Here is a 20,205-nt window from a genome sequence, read left to right as displayed (position 1 = left end):
CCTCCCTCAAAAGGCCCCTCGAGTTGTACAGGCTGTTGGGAGGTGGCTCAGCCTCGAAGGGCAGGCTGCACACCTGTTGACCTAAACTCACTGGACAGACTCCAGGTGGACGCCAACTCCTCAACAGCCCCATAACCTTAGCTCTACCTGGGGTACCCAGCACCCCCGCCCCACCACAGGGCTAGAGGCCCTGAGACCCTGAAAAAGGGGCGGGTAGTAGGGAAGGTGGAGGCACACTCCTCTCCTGTTGGACAGGGGAGCTCTGAGGTCAAGCCCTGGGCTCAGCCACGCAGAGACCCTGGCTGCCCTGGCTCTTGTTTGTTTAGGTCCAGGTTCTGCCCAGACCAGGGCCCAGGAGAGTTCTCAGGAGGCTGAGAAACCTCCAGGCCAGACAGAAAGTTGGGGCCAGAGCTGGGTTTTAGAGATCCTACGGGATCCAAAATAGGGCGGCTACCTAGGTGGGGCATGGCCCCTACCCGAGAACAGGAGGGTCCTCCAGAGAATGTGCCACCATCAGGGATATGAGCTGGGCCTGCCCAGACCCTGGGCACCTTTGGGAGCAGGAAAACTCAAGTGGAACTTGGAAAGGCTTTGAACGCCAGGCTAATGGTTGAGGGGATGGTGGGCAGGGAGGGAGGGCAAGGAGGCTCCCTCTGGCATTTGGGAGCAGGTGAGTGGAGGGCGGAGTCCCTGGAGGTGGCTGCAGTCCCTTAATGGGGGGCCTTGCTCTGGGCATGTGGGGCTGTCCCTCCATCCAGAGCTGGCCCAAGACCCATAGGGCCCTGAGTGCTGGCAAATCTCACTGCTCCTGACCCGGCTTGTGTATTCAAAACACAAACAGTAAAATCAACATCAGGATGTACATCAGGAAAAAAAAAAAATGTACGTGGTAAATCCCACTTGCGGGTATACATCCAAAAGAATTAAAAGCAGAATCTCAAAGAAATATATGCACATCCATGTTCACTGCAGCATTCACAACAGCCAGAAGGTGGAAGGAGCCTAAATGCCTATCGCTGGATGATGGATTACAAAAATGTAGTCTAGGCCAGGCACAGTGGCTCACGCCTGTAATCCCAGCACTTTGGGAGGCCGAGGTGGGTGGATCATGAGGTCAGGAGATCGAGACCACGGTGAAACCCTGTCTCTACTAAAAATACAAAAATTAGCCAGGCATGGTGGCACGTGCCTGTAATCCCAGCTACTCCAGAGGCTGAGGCAGGAGAATCGCTTGAACCCGGGAGGCGGAGGTTGCCGTGAGCTGAGATCGCACCACTGCACTCCAGCCTGGGTGACAGAGCAAGACTCCATCTCAAAACAAAACAAACAAAATAAATGTAGTATAGGCCAGGCATGGTGGCTTACACCTGGAATCCCAGCACTTACAGGAGGCTGAGGCAGACAGATCAGTTGAGGTCAGGAATTCAAGACCAGCCTGGCCATCATAGTGAAACCCTGTCTCTATAGAAGATACAAAAATTAGCTGAGTGTGGTGGTGTGTGCCTGTAATTCCAGCTAGTTGGGAGGCTGAGGCAGGAGAATCGCTTGAACCTGGGAGGCGGAAGCTGTACTGAGCCGAGATCCCCCCACTGCACTCCAGCCTGGGTGACAGAGCAAGACTCCGTCTCAAAAATAAAATGTAATATATACATTTAATATAATATTACTCAGCCTTAAACAAAGAGGAAACCACGTCATAGGCTGCAACATCAAAGAACTTTGAGGACATCATGCTGTGGGAAATACGTCAGTAACAAAAAAAACAAATACGCTGCATGTTCCATTTATATGGGGTACCTAGAGTTGTCAAACTCATAGAAACAGCCAGTAGCAAGGTGACTGCCAGGAAAGAATGCTAGGAGAGGGGTTCAGTGGGCACATAGTTTCGGCCATGCAAGATGAAAACGGTCTAGAGGTCTATTATACAACCATGTGCCTATAGTTAACAATACTGTACACTTCAAAATTATTTTTTCTTTTTTTTTCTTTTTTTTTTTTGAGATGGAGTTTCACTCTTGTTGCCCAGGCTGGAGTGCAAAGGCACGATCTCGGCTCACCACAACCTCCGCCTCCCAGGTTCAAGCGATTCTCCTGCCTCAGCCTCCCTAGCTGGAATTACAGTCATGTACCATGCCCAGCTAATTTTGTATTTTTAGTAGAGACGGGGTTTCGCTGTGTTGGTCAGGCTGGTCTCGAACTCCTGACCTCCGGTGATCCGCCCGCCTCAGCCTCCCAAAGTGCTGGGATTACAGGCATGAGTCACTATGCCAAGAATTTTTTTTTTTTTTTTGAAACAGTCTCACTCCTGTTGCCCAGGTTGGAATATAGTGGTATGATCACGGCTCACTGCAGCGTTGACTTCCTGGGCTCAGGTGATCCCACCCTCTTAGCCTCCCAAGTAGCTGGGACTACAGGAATGCACTACAAAGCCAGGTTAAATTTTTTTTTTCCGTATTTTTAGTAGAGATGGTTTCATCATGTTGCCCAAGCTGGTCTTGAACTCCTGGGTTCAAGTGATCCGCCCACCTTGGCCTCCCAAAGTGCTGGGATTACAGGTGTGAGTCATCATGCCTGGCCTTCAAAATCATTAAGAGGATAAACCTATGTTATATGTTTTTTACTGTACATAAATATATATAGTGGTAAGCCTTTCCAGATTTCTTCCAAGCAGAATATCCATACGTTCCCCCTTACGCACTTCAAGTGTGGAAAGGGAAACAGGAAGAACGGATTCACTTTCTCCCTCTCCAATCCACATCCAGCCCACTCACCTTTAAGAAGGACTCTATCCTGTTATATCCACAATGCTAGAGGGTAGAGTCAGAATAAAAATGTGAAAGATGTCTTAATACAACAGGATAAGAGAGATAAGTAGACAGTTTAATATCACTTATACGTCTATTTTTATTTACTCTCAAGGTGTGTGTGTAGAGTAGTGTGTGTGTGTGTGTGTGTGTGTGTGTGTGTGTGCATGTATGTGGGTTTAAGAAGGACAAATGTATCAGGGAGGCTTGTCAGTCAAACATTAATAGAGAAAGCTAACCGCCAACCACTCAGCTAAGTCTCAGTGAAAAACAAAGATGTTGAAAGAAAATAATAGTAGTTTTCAGTGTGAAGAGAGCTGGGAAGAGGAAACAGCAAGTGCTGTGGGAACACATAGCTGGGGGGGCCTGCCATGGGTTTCCCAGAGACAGTGATGCCTGAGGTTAGCCCGGTACTGAGGGGCCCAAGAGTGTTCCTGGCTATGAAAGAGCAAACTCGAAGTCCCCAGGAGCCTGGCGCTTTTGAGAATCTCACAGGAGCCCAGGGCAGCGAAAGCAGAGTGTCTGATCGAGATTAGAGGTGACTCCAGAGGACGGCAGAGGTCAGCGAGGGCTTCACTGCCATATGAGGATGCTGGACTTTATCCCCAAGGGCATCCACCGAGTGGTGAGCAGGGAAGCCACACGCTGAACTCTGACTTTTAAGTGTTGCTCCAGCGGCAGTGAGAAGCCCTAGCCCAGGTGTGGTCACCGCAGTATCAGAGATGGGAGAGAAGAGCGCCTCAGACAGGGGACAGTGACTCCAGGAATGCAAATGGACAGATTCCCATTCCTGGAAGAAGGCTCAAGTGCTATGAAGAGGGAACTGAGTCATGTATTAGGTTGGCGCAAAAGCAATGGTGGTTTTTCATCATTACTTTTCATGGTAAGAACAGCTATTATTTTTGCACCAAACTCAGAATTTTGAAATGTTAAAGTGAAGGCTGAACTGGCTTAACTTGGTGACCGATGGGATGTGGAGAGTGTGGGGGAGAGGGAGGAGGCATGGATGCCGCCCAGTCTTCTGGTTGGGTAACCAAGTGGATAATGATGTCCTTGAGGGAGATGAATTTCTGCAAAAACACAGTTTGTGTGGAAATATAAATCGTTGTGAACATGCAGAGTCTGAGATACCTGCCCTCTGCAGCCTTTCTTTCTTTGTTTCTTTTTTGAGACACAGTATCGCGATGTTGCTAGGCTGGAGCACAGTGGCCTGATCTCGGCTCACTGCAACCTCCGCCTCCCAGGTTCAAGCAATCCCCTCCTGCCTCAGCCTTCCGAGTAGCTGGGACTAGAGACATGCACCACGCCCAGCTAATTTTTATATTGTTAGTAGAGATGGGGTTTCACAATGTTGGCTAGGATGGTATCAATCTCTTGACCTCATGACGATCCGCCCGCCTTGGCCTCCCAAAGTGCTGGGATTACAGGCGTGAGCCACCGTGCCCAGCCTGCCTGCAGGCTTTCTTTCTCCCATTCTTGTCATCTCAGACAACATCTGGTATTTCTCCATTGTAAGTCCATCCTATTTCTCCATCATATACGGAAATAGGGCCAGAAAGAATCTTAGAAATCATGTCATCCCCTACCCTTCATTCTACACATAAGGAAACTGAGAACTGGCAGAGTTTAGGAGACTTCACCAAGGTGCACAGGACTGTAACCCCGTACACACCCCCTGACGCAGAGCCCATGCTCAGGTTCCTCCCAGCACCCCAGGAAGCACGTGTTTCTTTCTTGCTTCTCACACTTGCCGCTGTCACCATGGTAACCACTCTTCCTGGTCTAGAAGCCTAGCCTCCTGAAGGTACTCATTCAAACATGAGAAATCATGGGCCTTCTTACCAGTTGAGGCCTCTGACTGTAACAGTCATAGACTTATGAACATCAAAATAATCAGAAGCAGCCAGGCGCGGTGGCTCACGCCTGTAATCCCAGCACTTTGGGAGGCCGAGGCAGGCGGATCATGAGGTCAGGAGATTGAGACCATCCTGGCTAACATAGTGAAACTCTGTCTCTACTAAAAAAGCAAAAAATTAGCCAGGCGTGGTGGCAGGCACCTGTAGTCCCAGCTACTTGGGAGGCTGAGGCAGGAGAATGGTGTGAACCCGGGAGGCGGAGCTTGTAGTGAGCCAAGATGGCACCACTGCACTCCAACCTGTGGGACAGAGCGAGACTCCGTCTCAAAAAAAAAAAATTAATAATAATAATAATAATGAGAAGCAGTTGAAAAGTAGTTGAAGTTGATATCTGGTCAAGTTGCTCACAGAAATCTCCTGTTAGGTCATTTCAGTTTTCATTATGATTACTTAAAAAAACAACATAAAACATTGAGTCCATTAACTTTCACGGTATGATTTTTTTTTATTTTTTTGAGACGGAGTTTCACTCTGTCACCCAGGCTGGAGTGCGGTGGTACGAACTCGGCTCACTGTAACCTCTGCATCCCGGGTTCAAGCGACTCTTCTGCCTCAGCTCTGCCTGAGTAACTGGAATTGCAGGTGCATGCTACCACATCTGGCTAATTTATATTTCTTGTAGAGACGGGGTTTCACCATGTTGGCCAGGCTAATCTCCAACTCCTGGCCTCAAGTGATCTGCCTGCTTTGGCCTCCCAAAGGGCTGGGATTACAGGCATGAGCCACTGCACCTGGCCACACAATATGAATTTTTAAACATCCATCTCTATGCATAATAGTTTTCTATAACATTTTGGTTTCCCATAAAATTCCACACATCATACATTTTCATAGAAAATTGTCATATGGTTTTGTCACATGGTTTCCTGTAAAATTTCACTCTTTCAGCAAATGTTGGTAGGATTTGCAATTTTTTTTTTTTTTTTTTTTGAGATGGAGTCTCGCTCTCTGTCACCCAGGCTGGATGGAGTGCACTGGCACTATCTCGGCTCAATGCAAGCTCCACCTCCCAGGTTCGCACCATTCTCCTGCCTCAGCCTCCTGAGTAGCTGGGACTACAGGCACCTGCCACCACGCCCAGCTAATTTTCTGTATTTTTAATAGAGACGGGATTTCACCGGGTTAGCCAGGATAGCCTCGATCTCCTGACCTCGTGATCCGCCCACCTCGGCCTCCCAAAGTGCTGGGATTACAGGCATGAGCCACCGCACCCGGCCTGCAATTGTTATTAACTGGGTAAAGAAATAAAATCTGTGACTTTTGCCCTTTGAGCTTCTATTTTTATGATCTATTAGGGTAAAATGGAACATGTCAGAAACAATGTGTAATAATAGTTAAGAAGGAATTTTGTTAACTATTACAAATCCTCAACCCTACACAGTTTTAAAAAAAAATGCTTACCTGAGGCGAGAATCCTTAAAGGTGTCCAGATACGCAGGGTAGCTCCACCCAATTCTACTCCCTTTACATCGAAGCTCTACAGTTTGCCCCGCCAGCAGACTCAGGGTAGCGGCGGGTTTCTGGAAGCGACCTTTATCCAGCACTTGCATCATGATAGACTGCGTCTTTGGTGCTGAATTGGCTGAGTCCCTGTCCTTCATTTTAGGAATTTTGGGCTTCACCTTCTTGTTGGTAGGTTTGATTCTATTCTCTCCTGGTTCTTTTGGACGCTTGTTCTTGGGAAGGTGTTGGCCAGTAACTGCAAAACGTAAGGAGAGAGAAATGCGCTGTAGTAATGACATTTTTGGAATATTTGAGGCCAATAACTTTTTTTTTTTTTTGAGACAGATTCTTACTCTATTGCCCAGGTTGGAGGGCAGTGGCATAATCTCAGCTCACTGCAACCTCCACCTCCCAGGTTCAAGTGATTCTCTTGCCTGAGCACCCTGAGTAGCTGAGATTACAGGTGCCCGCCGCCACACCCAACTCATTTTTGTATTTTTAGTAGAGACATGGAGACAGGGTCTCAGCACGTTGGTCAGGCTGGTCTCGAAGTCCTGACCTCAGGTGATCCACCTGCCTTGGCCTCCCAAAGTGCTGGGATTACAGGAGTGAGCCACCATGCCCAGCCCTCATAGCTTTTAGGTAACTCTAGAGAAGATAACTTTTTAATCCTCCCCTCCTCATATGTCAATATTGTTTTCAGTAAAAGTCATGTAATTATCATCTTTTGATTAATTTTAAAACATTAAAAAATATTTCAGCTCCAAAGATATTATTCAAATTCAGCAAAACAGTTCATGTATGAGCTAAAATTTGCCCTTAGAAAACAAAAATATTACTGCCTGTAGTTCACACCGTCTCATAGTCTCCAAGCAGTCACACAAAACAGCAGAACTGAAGCCATTCAAGGCTGTTTGTTTACTTTGCAGTCTATATGTTGTCACCATTCATTTTGATTCTACTGTTTAAACACAGAAATCTGTAGCTCCACAGAGACTGGGGACACAAACTGTGCTGAAAGTGCACGCAAAATATTTTGTGTTTAACGTTAGAAACGGAATCTCACTCTGTCACCCAGGCTGGAATGCAATGGCATGATCCTAGCTCACTGTAGCCTTGAACTCCTGGGCTCAAGTGATCCTCCTGCCTCAGCCTCCTGAGTAGCTAGGCCTACACATATGTGAGACCATGCTGAGCTAATTTTTTTTTTTTAAAGATGGGGCCTTGCTATGTTGCCCAAGCTGGTCTCAAACTCCTGGCCTCAAGCAACCCTCCCACGTAGGCCTCCCAAAGTGCTGCAATTATAGGTGTGAGCCACTCTGCCCAGCCAAGATTTTGAACCACAGTGAACTTTCTCTCAAAACAAATGGTAAAGCAGACATTACATTTGTCAGGGGCTGGCGATGTCTAGGTAGAATAAAATGCTTATTATTAAAGAGTAAATATTATGTGTATACTAATCTGAAGCTTACATATAAATTATCAAAACTCAACTGTAACTGTAGCAACGATTTAGAATTTCACCAACAAAATGTCTCTGGGGAAGGAGTATTTTATCACCAACATTGTTGAGAGTTGCTGGCAAATAGTGATAATAAAAAGCTAACTGACTTTAAGTTGCTTTTGTTGTCATTTTTGCCTTCTCTATAAGTAAGGCACCCTTATTGCCTGCATCCAGGGAAGAGTGCCCCCACTGTTCTGCCTGTGGTGGGCCACCGGACTCTAAAAATCTCAGCTAAGCCCCTTGCAGCCACACAGTTGTGTCCACTCAACAAGAATGAATAGGGGACTGTAGGCCAGGTGTGGTGGCTCATGCCTGTAATCCCAGCATTTTGGGAGGCCAACGCAGGTGGATCAGTTGAGGTCAGAAGTTTGAGACCAGCCTGGGCAACATGGCGAAACCCCATCTCTACTAAAAATACAAAATTAGCCAGGCATGGTGGCGCATGCCTGTAATCCCAGCTACCACTCGGGAGGCTGAGGCACAAGAACTGCTTGAACCCGGGAGGCGGAGGTTACAGTGAGCCGAGATCACACCACTGCACTCCAATGCCTGGAGACTGAGACTGAGACCGAGACTTGAGCCCACAAGTCCGAGTTTATGATGAGCTATGATTGTACCACTGCACTGCAGTCTGGGTGACAGAGCAAGACTCTCTCTCAAAAAAAGAAAGAAAGAAAGAAAGAAAAGCCCACCATTATCATGCCCAAGAAATCTGTGCCCCATAAATACTTTAATGCCTGTGAAATTAATGAACCTCTGGATTAAGGTCTAATTTGGTATTCTGTGTATCATGTAACAGGAATTCAAGCTACCAGAAATGACAATAACCATCTGTAAATCCTATGGAATTTAGACAAACAGAGCTACTTGTCTGATCCTTCTAAGCTATCACATCTTGTGTATCTATGTTACTCAGGAACATGAGATTATCTGATTTTGGAGATTATGCATCCAAATATTTGCTATTATCTATGCAAAATAATTTGACCTTTTGACCAAATAGCCCCACCAGCTGATCTAACTGTATAGCTGGTCCAGCTGCCTGACCACAGAATTGGCCTGTGGTTTGATGGCAATGATGCAAAGCTAAAGGAGCCAGCCTAGTGTCCCCACAGATACCCAGACGGTATTGGAATTGAGTGACTCCCAAATCCCATGTCTAACTGTTTAAAAGAATATGACTCTTCAGCCTAACTATGTCAATTGGTTATTTTTCAAAGACTTAAAAAATACAAGAATTCATACTATAAGTGAACGTCCATTACCATTGAATTTTTGAGACTATTGCATCGTATAATTTATAGAGAAATAGGTGGCAAAATTCAAGAACCATTAAATATCATTACTAGCTTCAGGTCCAGGCCTGCCACTTACTGGCTGTGTGACCTTGGGAAGCTACTTGCCCTCTTCTGTTTCAGTTTTCTCATCTATAAATTGAGAATGATATGGTAATAACTACCTCATAATAACTGTAATAATTACTGTGGGAGTTAAATGAGTTAATATGTCAAAACTGCTGAAATTAGCATCTGACCTACAGTAAGTGATTGCTAGCTAAGTGCTATTTGTTTTTTTATGGTTGTCACATGAGATCTCTATGATGAACTTGTGGTGGAAACAAAGCAGATATTAGTCTCTTTAATGTATAGATGCCAAGTAGTTCACTCCAGGTCATCAAGAAGGTAGTGAAAAAACAGACCCTCTGACTCCAAGTCTAGAGCTTTCTCTGGCTCATGCCATTGCCTCTCCATCCACTTAGAGATTAGCATATTGTTGCTTTTTCACTTTATTTGCACAAATCTCATGCACCATGAGATTCTTTGTTTGATGTGACATGGAGTTCCAAGCCAAACAGAACCTGATGCTGGGGATGACAGCCTCCTCTTCCTGGAAGAGCTGGAGGTGCTTTTCCAAGGCACACACTGGATCCCCTCGGTGAGGAGATGTTGGTCAAAACCTCATCTCCAGCTGGGTGCAGCGGCTTATGCCTATAATCCCAGCACTCTGAGAGGCCAAGGAAGGTGGATCACTTGAGGCCAGGAGTTCAAGACCAGCCTGGCCAACATAGTAAAACCTCATCTCTTCCAAAAAATACAAAAAAGTAGCCAGGCATGGCGGCACACGCCTGTAGTCCCAGCTACTTGGGAGGCTGAGGCATGAGAATCGTTTGATCCTGGGACACGGAGGTTGCAGTGAGCTGAGATCGCACCACTGCACTCCAGCCTGGGCAACAGAGTGAGACTCTGTCTCAAAAAAAAGAAAAAACAGACAAAAACCCCAAAACCCTTATATCCAAAATAAATAAACAAATGTTACAAAGCAAGAAGGAAGCAGGAAAAAGGACCATGATTATTCATCATCAACTGAGAATCACAATCAAATCTTATTCATCAAAAGTGACCTATTAGCCTAATTCAATAGAACTGTGTTGGAGGAGAAAATAAATTCATTAGAAGAATCATTGACTGCAGCCTGGATGAGATTTCTTGTTAAGCACAGTCATTAATATCAAAGCGCTAGAGCTGTTGGGTTTTCTCCTCCCTGATGGGCAGTAAAGGGGAAAGGCCATCCCTAAAAGTAGCTCCTCAGTTAACCACACCATACATTCTTCTGAGCCACTCAGTTGCTTCCCAATTAGTTATATACACTGAGAGATGCCACTCTCATTTTTCCATTTTTCATGAAACACCCCACAGGAACACACACACTTTTCCAAGAACAAAGCTGAGAAGGTGGGAAAGCGATACTATGGAGAGGAAAATGTAGCAAGATGTAGCAAGCCCTTCCTTTCTCTCTTCCTTTCGAGAACCCCACTCCAAAAAACCCACCTACTGTCAGAGATTCGAACCAGAGAGACTCCATCTTGAATAGGGGCTGGGTAAAATAAGGCTGAGAACCACTGGGCAGCATTCCCAGGAGGTAAAGGCATTCGTCACAGGATGAGACAGGAGGTTGGCTCAAGATACAGGTCACAGACACCTTGCTGATAAAACAGGTTGTGGTAAAGAATCTGGCCAAATCCCACCAAAACCAAGATGGCCACGAACGTGACCTCTAGTCATCCTCACTGATCATTATATGCTAATTATAATGCATTAGCATGCTAGAAGACACTCCCACAAGCGCCATGAGTGTTTACAAATGCCATGGTAACATCAGGAAGTCATCCTATATGGTCTAAAAAGGAGAGGAACCCTCAGTTCCAGGAATTTCCCGTCCCTTTCCCGGAAAACTCATGAATAATCCACCCCTTGTTTAGCATATAATCAAGAAGTAACCGTAAGTATAAGCAGCTGAGCAGTCCATGCCGCTGCTCTGCCTATGAAGAAGCCATTCTTTTATTCCTTTACTTTCTTAATAGATTTGCTTTCACTTTACTTCTATGGACTCACTCCGAATTCTTTCTTACACGAGATCCAAGAACTTTTTCTTGCGGTCTGGATCAGGACCCCTTTCCGGTAACACTACCACTGTTTAAAGTATCTTTAAAAAAAAAAAAAAAGCAGTTTCTGAGAATTAGATCCTTCAATGCCAGGATAAAGGCCTCAATCTGAAGTATTTTCCACAACACCTGTTAGAATACAGTTGATGACGCTCTTCTTGAAAAACTCGATTCACATGGCTCGCAGGACCCTGTGCTGCCTTGGTTTTCCTCCTGTGTCACTGACAACTCTTCAGTCTGTGGCAGCTCTTCCTCATTTTCCTGACCTGCCTGATCACTCCTCTCTAACTACTCTTCACTCTCTAAGTGACCTCACACAATCCCGTGACCCCTGCAGCATTTATATGCTGAAAGCTGCCCTAGCTCCTGTCCTGACCCCGCCTCTACACTCCAGATCTAAATATCCTGTTGCTTATTCAGCATCGCCACTTGAAAGACTAGTAGGCATGTCAAAGTTAGCATCTCCAAAATTTAGCATCTCAAATTTAGCATGTCTGACCTCTGAATGCCCCTTCAGACATGCTCCTTCCTGATGCTCCCTTTATCAGCAAATGACAATTGCTCAGGACAAAAACCTCCAAGTCGCACTTGTTTTAAATTTTCCTCTCCTAAGCCACATCCAATCCAGCAACAAATTCTTTTGACTTCATCTTGAAAACAGACCCTGAACTCAGCCTCTTTTCCTTCCATCCACTGATACCAGCCTGGGCCAAGCCACTTACCATCCAGACATTTATACTATCTCCTAAGCAGCCCCTGGCTTCCACTGTATCACTCCTTCGGCCGTCTATGTGGCTATAAAGGGATAGCTGAGGCTGAATCATTTATGCAGGAAAGAGGTTTACTCAGCTCACAGTTCTGCTGGCCAGAAGATTCAAGACTGGGCATCTGGTGAGGGCCTCAGGCTGCTTCCACTGGTGGCACAGGTGAAGGAGAATAGGTATATGCAGAGATCACATGGAGAGAGAAGAAGCAAGAGAGAGAGAGAGGGGAGGTGCAAGCCTCCTTTTAACCAGCTCTTACATGAATTAGTGGAGCAAGAACTCACGCTATTAGTTCTATTACCTCCAGGAGGGCAACAAGCCATTCATGAGGGGTCCACCCCCACGACTCAAACACCTCCCATTAGGCCCCACCACCAACACTGGTGATCAAATTTCAACATGAGGTTAGGAGGAGGTCAAATATCCAAATCATAGCATTGCACCTCTGGCCCCCCAAAACTCATGTCTTTCAAATACTGCAAATTACAAGCATCCTTTCCCAATAGTCCCCGAAATCTTAACTTGTTCCAGCATCAACTCAAAAGTCCAAAGTCTCATCTGAGCTTGAGGCAAGTTCCTTACAGCTGTGAGCCTGGAAAATCAAAAACAAGCCTTCGCCCTCCCCACCCCTCTAACTTGGCTGGGTGAAGCCCACATGGCTGATCTGACAGGTTGGAGTTGAATGTCTGTTTGTTTTCCAAGGTGAGGGTGCATACTGCTGGTGGCTCTCTAATTCTGGGATCCCCACATGAGCCCTGTTCCCATGGCTCCCCTAGGCAGTGCCCTGGTAGGGACTCTCTGTGTTAGTTCTGCCCCTGTAGCAGGCTTCTGCTCGCACACTCAGGCTTTCTGATACATCCTCTGAAATCTAGGTGGAAGCTAAGCCTCCATCACTCTTGCATTCTGGGAATATGCAGACTTGACAACATGTGGAAGCCTCCAAGGTTTATTTATAACTTGTGCCCTCTGGAGCAACCTCTCTGTTCTGCTTATTGGCCTCTTCTGCTCTTATTCGCCCATCTGGAACCACACCTGGGACCTTTTAAGTGAAGGCTAGAGCTGGTGCACCTGAGATAGGGGCAGTAGCATCCCGAGGTGGTGCACGGCAGAAGAGCAGCAGGGCCTGCCCCCCAAAACCATTCTATTCTCCTGAGTCTCTGGGCCTGGGATGGGAGGGGCTCCTCAAAGATTTCCAAAATGGCTATAAGGCCTTTCTCTTATTTTCTTAGCTACTAGCATGATTCAAGCAGTCTCTCAACTGTGCCCTTGGATTCTTTTCCCAAAATGCTCTTTCATTCTCTGCCACATGGCCAGGCTTCAGATTTTCCAAACTTTTACTCTCTGCTTCCCTTTTCATAATAAATTCTACCTTTAGGTCATTCCTTTGCTGCTGTAATTGATCTTGAGCCTAAGTTTTTTTTTTTTTTTTTTTTGAGACAGAGTCTCACTCTGTCACCAGGCTGCAGTACAGTGGCCTGATCTCAGCTCACTGCAATCTCCTCTTCCCGAGTTCAAGCGACTCCCCTGCCTCAGCCTCCCAAGTAGCTGGGACTACAGGTGCGCACCACGACATCAGGCTAACTTCTTGTATTGTAATAGAGACAGGGTTTCACCATGTTGCCCAGGCTGGTCTCGATCTCCTGACCTCATGATCCGCCTGCCTCCCAAAGTGCTGGGATTACAGGCGTGAGCCACCCTGCCCGGCTGATCCTAAGCTTTTAAACCCAGCCACACCCACCACTACTTGAGCACTTTGCTGATTAAAAATTTCTTCTTTAGGATACCCTAGGACATCACTCTTAAGTGTGGCCTTCCAAAATCCCTAGGGCATGGACACAATGCAGCCAAGTTCTTTGCTAAGGCCTAACAAGGGTGACTTTTCTCCAGCTCCCAATAAGTTATCTGTTTCCATTTCAGACCTTGTCAGCATGAACTTTACTGTCTATATTTCTATCAACAGTTTAGTCACAACTATATAACCAATCTCTAAGAAATTCCAAACTTTCCCTCCTCTTGCTGTTTTCTTCTGAGCCCTCCAAACTCTTCCGATTCTCTGCCCAGTACCCAGTTCCAAAGCTGCTTCCACACTTTCAGGTATCTTTATAGCAATATCCCACTCCTTGGTACCAATTTTCTGTGTTAGTTCATTTCGCATTGCTATAGAGGAATACGTAGGGCTGGGTTGTTTATAAAGAAAAGAGGTTTATTTGGCTCATCGTTCTGCAGGCTGTACAAGAAGCATGGAACCAACATCTGCTTCCAATGAAGGCCTCAGACTGCTTCCACTCAGGGCAGAGGGCAACGATAACTAGCAGTGCAGAGATCACATGGTGCGGTGGGAGGAGGAGGGACCAGACTCTCTTTAACAAGCAGTTCTTGCTGGAAATAATACAGAATCCACACATCCCCAAGGGAAGGCATTAATCTCTTCATGAAGGATCTACCCCCAAGGCCCAAACACCTCCCATGAGGCCCTACCTCCCACCACCACCACCACATGGGGGATCAAAATTCAACATAAGATGTGGTGGGGGCAAACCATAGCACCTACCTTTGAAAACATAAATCAAATTATGGGTACTTCTTCGTTCAGAAGCCTCCAGTGACTTTCATCTCATCTAGAAGCCAGCCCTAAATCTTCCCATGCCCTACAAGGCTTGGCCAGCTCCCGTCCCACGCATCACAGCCACAGCCACACTGGCAACCGGTACAAGCCCATCTTGAAGCTATTGCCTTTGTGGTGCCCCTGGAGTGCACAGCTTTGCTGTCAGCTACCTCCGGGGTTTGCTTCCTTGTTTCAGGCAGGCTTATGGCTATCCATTCAAACGGCATCCTCACACCCCGCCTCAGTCCTCTCCATGTCTCACCCTGTCTTACTGGTTGAATTGTGTCCCCTAAAAAGATATGCTGAAGTCCTAACTCCCAGGTATCTGTGAATGTAACCTCATTGAGGAATGGAGTCTTTGCAAATGTAATCAAGTTAGCATGAGGTCATTAGGGTAGGCTCTCCTCCAATAGGACTGATGTTCTTATGAGGAGACACACACACACACACGTATGAAAATGCCATGTAAAGACAGACACGGGGAGAAGATGGTCACATGGCAACAGAGGCAGAGATTGGAGTGATGTGGCCACAAGCTAAAAAAAATGCCAAGGGGTTGCTGACCACAACCAGAAGCTAGTGGAGGCAGGGAAGGATTCTACCCGCATCTTAGAAGCTGTGTGGTGCTGCTGACACTGACTTTGGACTACAAGCCTCTGGACTGTGAGCAAACAAACTTCTGCGGTTTTAAAGCCTCCCATTCCGTGGTACTTTGTTATGGCAGCCCTAGGAACCTAATAGACCCTGATTCATGATTCTCGATGCCACTTACCACTTCCTTAAATTGTATCTTTACTTCTTTATCTTTCCTCTCCCTTCATTGAGCACCACAAAGAAAGGGTTTTAAAACCTTGTCTAGGTTTGAAAACCATCAGTCCTCTGACCACCAGATCTCTCTCTCTTGCCCTCAAACTTTTCTCTTTCTGTGTTTTAAGGATCAGAAATGGTTTTGTATGTCAAACATGCCAGCCAAGATCCTAAATGCTTCAAAGCATTCATTATGTGCATTCATAAACAATAAGGAACTTTAGAATTCTTTTTTTCATTAAAATATTTCTGTACTAATTTTTACTCTTTTTTTTTCTCAAAAATAAACGAAGACACGAAAGTGTCAAAGGCTCTTGGTTAGAGAATCCTCGTCATTGTGTCTCTGTCCTTACCTTCTTAGAGATCTGGCTATATTGCTCTCAGACAATAATGAATGTCTGTAGTCCTCCAAGAAAGAAACCCCTTTCACCAGATGCAAAATAAACCCAGGTTACTGAAGACCAGATTAGCATGGATCAAGGATCTCATGTTATTCAACAGAACTCGTTGCACAAATCAATATTAACACTTCAGTGTTTGCTCCTGACATTCAATAAAAATATGTAGGTAATCAAAAGTCAGGAAATATTTGTGATTTTATACTTTTCAATGTGAAAATAGAAGCACCCTATTAATAAACTCGGTGGCATGTATTCCATATAAATGCTGAAAATCAGGTGCTATGATTGACATCTCAACGTGGAATCTTGGATTATTTATTACCTGTTTTCATCCCTCAGTTTCATGCCATGAAGTATTATGTGCCTTTCCAGCTCCCCATCTTCATGAGGAGAAAGAACATTACTTCCAAAAATTTAAAGCATTTTGTCATTGGGAGCAGCCAGCTTCATTGGGTCACAGGCCAGATGTTCACCCCCATACACACTTGCAGGGAAGTCTTTTCCTCTTAGAAGGCTGTCTTTGGCTAGTTGTGGTGGCTAGCACAAGTGGAAGTCGCAGTGAGCTAAGATTGTGCCACTGCACTCCACCTGGGTGACATAGCAAGACTCCATCTCAATAATAATAATAATAATAATAATAATAACAATAATAATAAAATAATAATAAAGACTGTCTTTTAGATGTGATCAGAAAAACTAAAAGGCAGTGAAACAAGTTGAGTCATGGACCTTGTGTCTGTAATTTGTGCTTTGGGATGGCCTTGAAGGCAGGATATTCCCAACCTGCCAATCTGAGACCAGCACTGGAAGGGCCTCCTGTGTAATCCACTCTCCTTAGTAGCTCCTGGCCACAACTCACAACACAACTCAAAACCAAAAACCATTCTTAATAGGTTTAGCCAAACGGTTACATAACTTAATGAAGCACTGTGTGTTCACTATTGTATCCATAAATAGTCCATACATTATAGATATGTGTGCTTTTATTTTTATCTTTATTTTCTTGAGATGGAGTCTCACTTTGTCGCCCAGCTGGAGTGCAGTGGTGCGATCTCGGCTCACTGCAACCTCTGCCTCCCAGGTTCAAGCAGTTCTCTGCCTCACCCTCCCAAGTAGCTGGGATTACACGTGCCCACCACCACGCCCGGCTAATTTTTATATTTTTAGTAGAGACGGGGTTTCACCATCTTGGCCAGGCTGGTCTTGAACTCCTGACCTTGTGATCCACCTGCCTTGGCCTCCCAAAGTGCTGGGATTACAGGCATGAGCCACTGTGCCCGGCCAGATGTGTGTACTTTTATAAACAAAATCTTCGTGCTATTATCACCTAAAATTTATGAACTATTTCTTACATTCAGTCTGTATTCCACTTTCTCCAATTGTCTCATAAATGCTTATTGTTTGTATGGATTACACTTAAAGAAAGGGTAAATTTAGTCAGATGTTTGTAATAAACTCACATGGGCTGGGTGAGATCCAGGAGGCAGAATGGAAGTCAATTTCTGAGCCTCTAAGACTGGCAAGTTGGGTATAAACAAAGGAATGGCTGATTTGAAATTATTTTGCCTGGCCATCTCCTGCCCTATTCAAAAAATGATACTACAAATTACATTTCTGCCTTTTCAGCGGTTGCACACAAGGGCCTGCCAGGAGCATTTTAATATTGCATTTTACAAACTGAACTCATGGCAACTTCTCTCTGGGCAGAGTTAAGTGTTACTCTCCCAGTAGAAGCTCTGCCTACGTTTTATTAAGCAAAGCTCTAGGCTGAAGGACCCTCATGCTCAACTTCAAGTACCACGACTATCTTGGATTTTGCAAACTACAATGCGGTATTTTTTTGGCAAATGTAGTTTCCTAGGAAAGAAAGGAACTGGTCAGGATGAACGAGTGGATAAAAATGTGAGCCAGGTCGAGCTGGCTCCAGCATGAAGTTGCATAACAGCAAAAGCTACTTTTCCACTAAATCTAAGCAAAAATTGTGTTGTAGCCCAGGAATTTCAAGAGAGGGTTGAGGACACCAGGAGGCACCCAGATGAAACATGTACTGTACAAATAACACCCATGGAGTGAATAGAGCAAACAAAACATTTAAATGCTAACAATAATATATAATACACACCACAGTAATACACACACCCAGACACACAGAAAAATAACACCAGACCCTGTGGTCACGGGTGTACACGACAGGGTGGACCCAGGACAGGTACACATTCAAAAACGCGCAGCGGTCATGGTCCCATAAGCTGTACCAAAAAAATGCATTTTCTTCACCATTTCCCATCCAATTAGATAAATATAATAAGCCGTGGGCTTTTGATTCGTTTTGAAGTTTCATACACTGACATTTTTGTTCGAAGATCTAGGCAGATCTTGCAGGATTCAAGCAAAAGGTGGTAGACGAAAACACGCCCAGAACTGCGAGGGGAGGGGGAGGTCACCTGGAACTCTGCAACCGAATCAGCGATTGCCGAGCTTAGGTGGCACTCGCTCTCAGCAGCAGAGGTCCCAGCCACGCCGCTGGGAGGTGGAAGCGATCCGAGGCTCCCGCCCCACCTCCCAGACCGACACGTTGACACTGGGGGCTGGACCAGGCGCTGGCTGGGGATGCTTGGTTCGCCCGGAGATGGGGACTTGGAGAGGTCCTGGTGGGCTCCTAAGGGTCGGGGTAGCTGCCACCACCCCTAGAGGGCTCTCCGGGCAGGCAAAGAGTGGGAGGAAAGGAGACCCCACCAGGAGGGGGCAGGTGCACCGGGCAGGCAGTGGCGCGGGGGCTGAGCCACCGAGGGCCGAACGTTAGACCAAGAGCTGGCAGGAGGGCGGCGGGGGCTTCGGGTCCCGGCTAAAGTCAGGGCACAAGCTAGGTGGCCCCGCGCCCAGAGTCACTCACCATCCTCCAGCGCTTCGTGCACCAGCAGAAGACCAAGCAGCAGCCAGACCTTCATCTCGGGAACCTCGGACCTCGGAGCGCAGGAGCGCGGCGGCTGCGCGGGGCGGGGACGCAGGGGAGGCGGCGGGCGAGGGGCGGGCTCCTGGGACGCCGAAGCGGGAGGATTCGGTTTCTTCAGGAGGAACAAGGTTTGGGGGAAAAAGTTGGGGAATTTTTTTTTTTTTTAGTTCTCTGTGTAATGTGACTTCTCCTGCCCCCTGGCGGAGCCGCGGTGCGCAGCACTTCTTCCCAGCGCGGGGAGGAAAGGCTAAGCGTGAAATGTACATTACAACAGCCATTCCTTGAATTTCTCCAACGCTTGGCGTTTTCACCAAGGTTATCAAGTTCAAGAAGGATCAGCGGGTGCTGATGGGGTCACTTTTAACCACGATTGTCCAAATGTTACCAGCGCCCGCCCCACCTCCTCAGGCAGAACCTGAGTGCTCTGTAAAAAGTGCTTCCTAAATTATTTCTGTTCATTCCATTTCTCTCCCCCACATGCACTCACTCACAGGACCGTTGCCCCGGGTTCTTGCTGCTCCTCTGTGTCTGGCCAGAGTTGGTCTCCGCACCCAGCCCTGTAACTGCTGGTGGGGGTGGGAGGACGGGTTCATTACAGGAATAACGTGGAAAATGAGACTGTGCAGACAACCCGGGCCTCTGGTGGTGAGGCAGGAGAACAGGGAATTAGGGTAAGCACGGGCTAGGGTATGAGCAGGAGAACAGCAGGTGCAGCCAGTTCGCAGAAGCAAAAGATCAGCAGGTGCAGACAGTTCTAGGCATGATTAGGCGGCACACAGGCCACATCCTCGCTCCTCTGATAACAAGGCAGAAGTTTCCACTTCAGCCTCGGACTGGTCGCAGGCCAGTCCTTCGTAAGGTGTAACCAGTTGGAGGCCTCTAAAGGGAACCCAAGGGTGTTGCCAAGTTCTTTTCGCTTTATAAAATCCCTGGGGAGCGTCAGGCTCTTGTGGCTTGCTGCAGCGCCCTCTGTGAATTGTCTTCTATAAATCTACGTTTTCCTTCCTCCCTTCTGTTGCTTTGTTTTTCCTTGCTTCTTTCTTTCGTTACTCCGTGCATTTCGTTCAATTTTTTGTTCAACAGGCCAAGAACCTGGACAACTCTATCAGGTAACAGTGGGGCAGAAGATACGGGCTTTCACAAGTCCCTCTGCAGAGAGCCATCCTGCGTTTCTGAGCTTGCAGACTCTCATGATCAAAGCAGTTTGCTAGCGGGGGAGATGCCTGTGTGTGTTCCCCCGGTGAGAAGCAGCCCATCTCATTGTAATCTTCAGCACCAGGCACTGCTATTAAAGGGAGCTCAATTCTAAATAACAGGAAAGGGACTTGTCCCTCAACACCCAACGAAAGAAGTGCTGCCATTTATAACAAACTAATGCTTCTCAGTCACTTCTGCAGGAGGAACCAAGAATTCTATATTCTGTTGCCAGCTCTAGCCGGAGCTTTGCCACTCGCTTGCCTTGCGATGCAGAGAGCAGTTGGCTGGGAATAAAGACCAGAGTTCAGATGCTGACACTGGCACAAACTCTCCATGCCTCTCAGAATTCACTTAACCTTCTGGGTTTTA

General features: G+C 46.5%; 1 protein-coding gene across 2 annotated transcripts in view, besides 3 other annotated features; it reads right to left on the bottom strand.

The window, feature by feature from the left end:
- Positions 1-19,454, bottom strand: part of PDGFRL (platelet derived growth factor receptor like) — a 66,712-nt gene extending 47,258 nt beyond the window's left edge. The window contains 3 exon segments of one of the 2 annotated variants that reach the window (NM_006207.2): positions 6,122-6,419; positions 18,580-18,751; positions 19,127-19,454. In NM_006207.2, the coding sequence (NP_006198.1) occupies positions 6,122-6,419; positions 18,580-18,634 (353 nt within the window). In that variant the 5' untranslated portion in view covers positions 18,635-18,751; positions 19,127-19,454. 2 annotated transcript variants of the gene reach the window in all.
- Positions 3,193-3,487: a silencer, noted in NCBI's record as "tiled region #10035; K562 Repressive non-DNase unmatched - State 23:Low". NCBI's record gives its function as "represses a minimal TATA promoter and a strong SV40 promoter by Sharpr-MPRA in K562 cells {active_cell/tissue: K562}" and the evidence as "EXISTENCE:reporter gene assay evidence [ECO:0000049][PMID:27701403]".
- Positions 18,266-18,315: a silencer, noted in NCBI's record as "silent region_18962". NCBI's record gives its function as "represses an Ori minimal core promoter by ATAC-STARR-seq in GM12878 lymphoblastoid cells {active_cell/tissue: GM12878}" and the evidence as "EXISTENCE:reporter gene assay evidence [ECO:0000049][PMID:35858748]".
- Positions 18,406-18,465: a silencer, noted in NCBI's record as "silent region_18961". NCBI's record gives its function as "represses an Ori minimal core promoter by ATAC-STARR-seq in GM12878 lymphoblastoid cells {active_cell/tissue: GM12878}" and the evidence as "EXISTENCE:reporter gene assay evidence [ECO:0000049][PMID:35858748]".

The sequence above is a fragment of the Homo sapiens genome, chromosome 8, assembly GCF_000001405.40.
Source record: "Homo sapiens chromosome 8, GRCh38.p14 Primary Assembly".
Taxonomy (NCBI): Eukaryota; Metazoa; Chordata; class Mammalia; order Primates; family Hominidae; genus Homo; species Homo sapiens.
The sequence above is the reverse complement of the archived record's forward strand: the minus strand, read 5'-3'. Positions and strand labels throughout refer to the sequence as shown.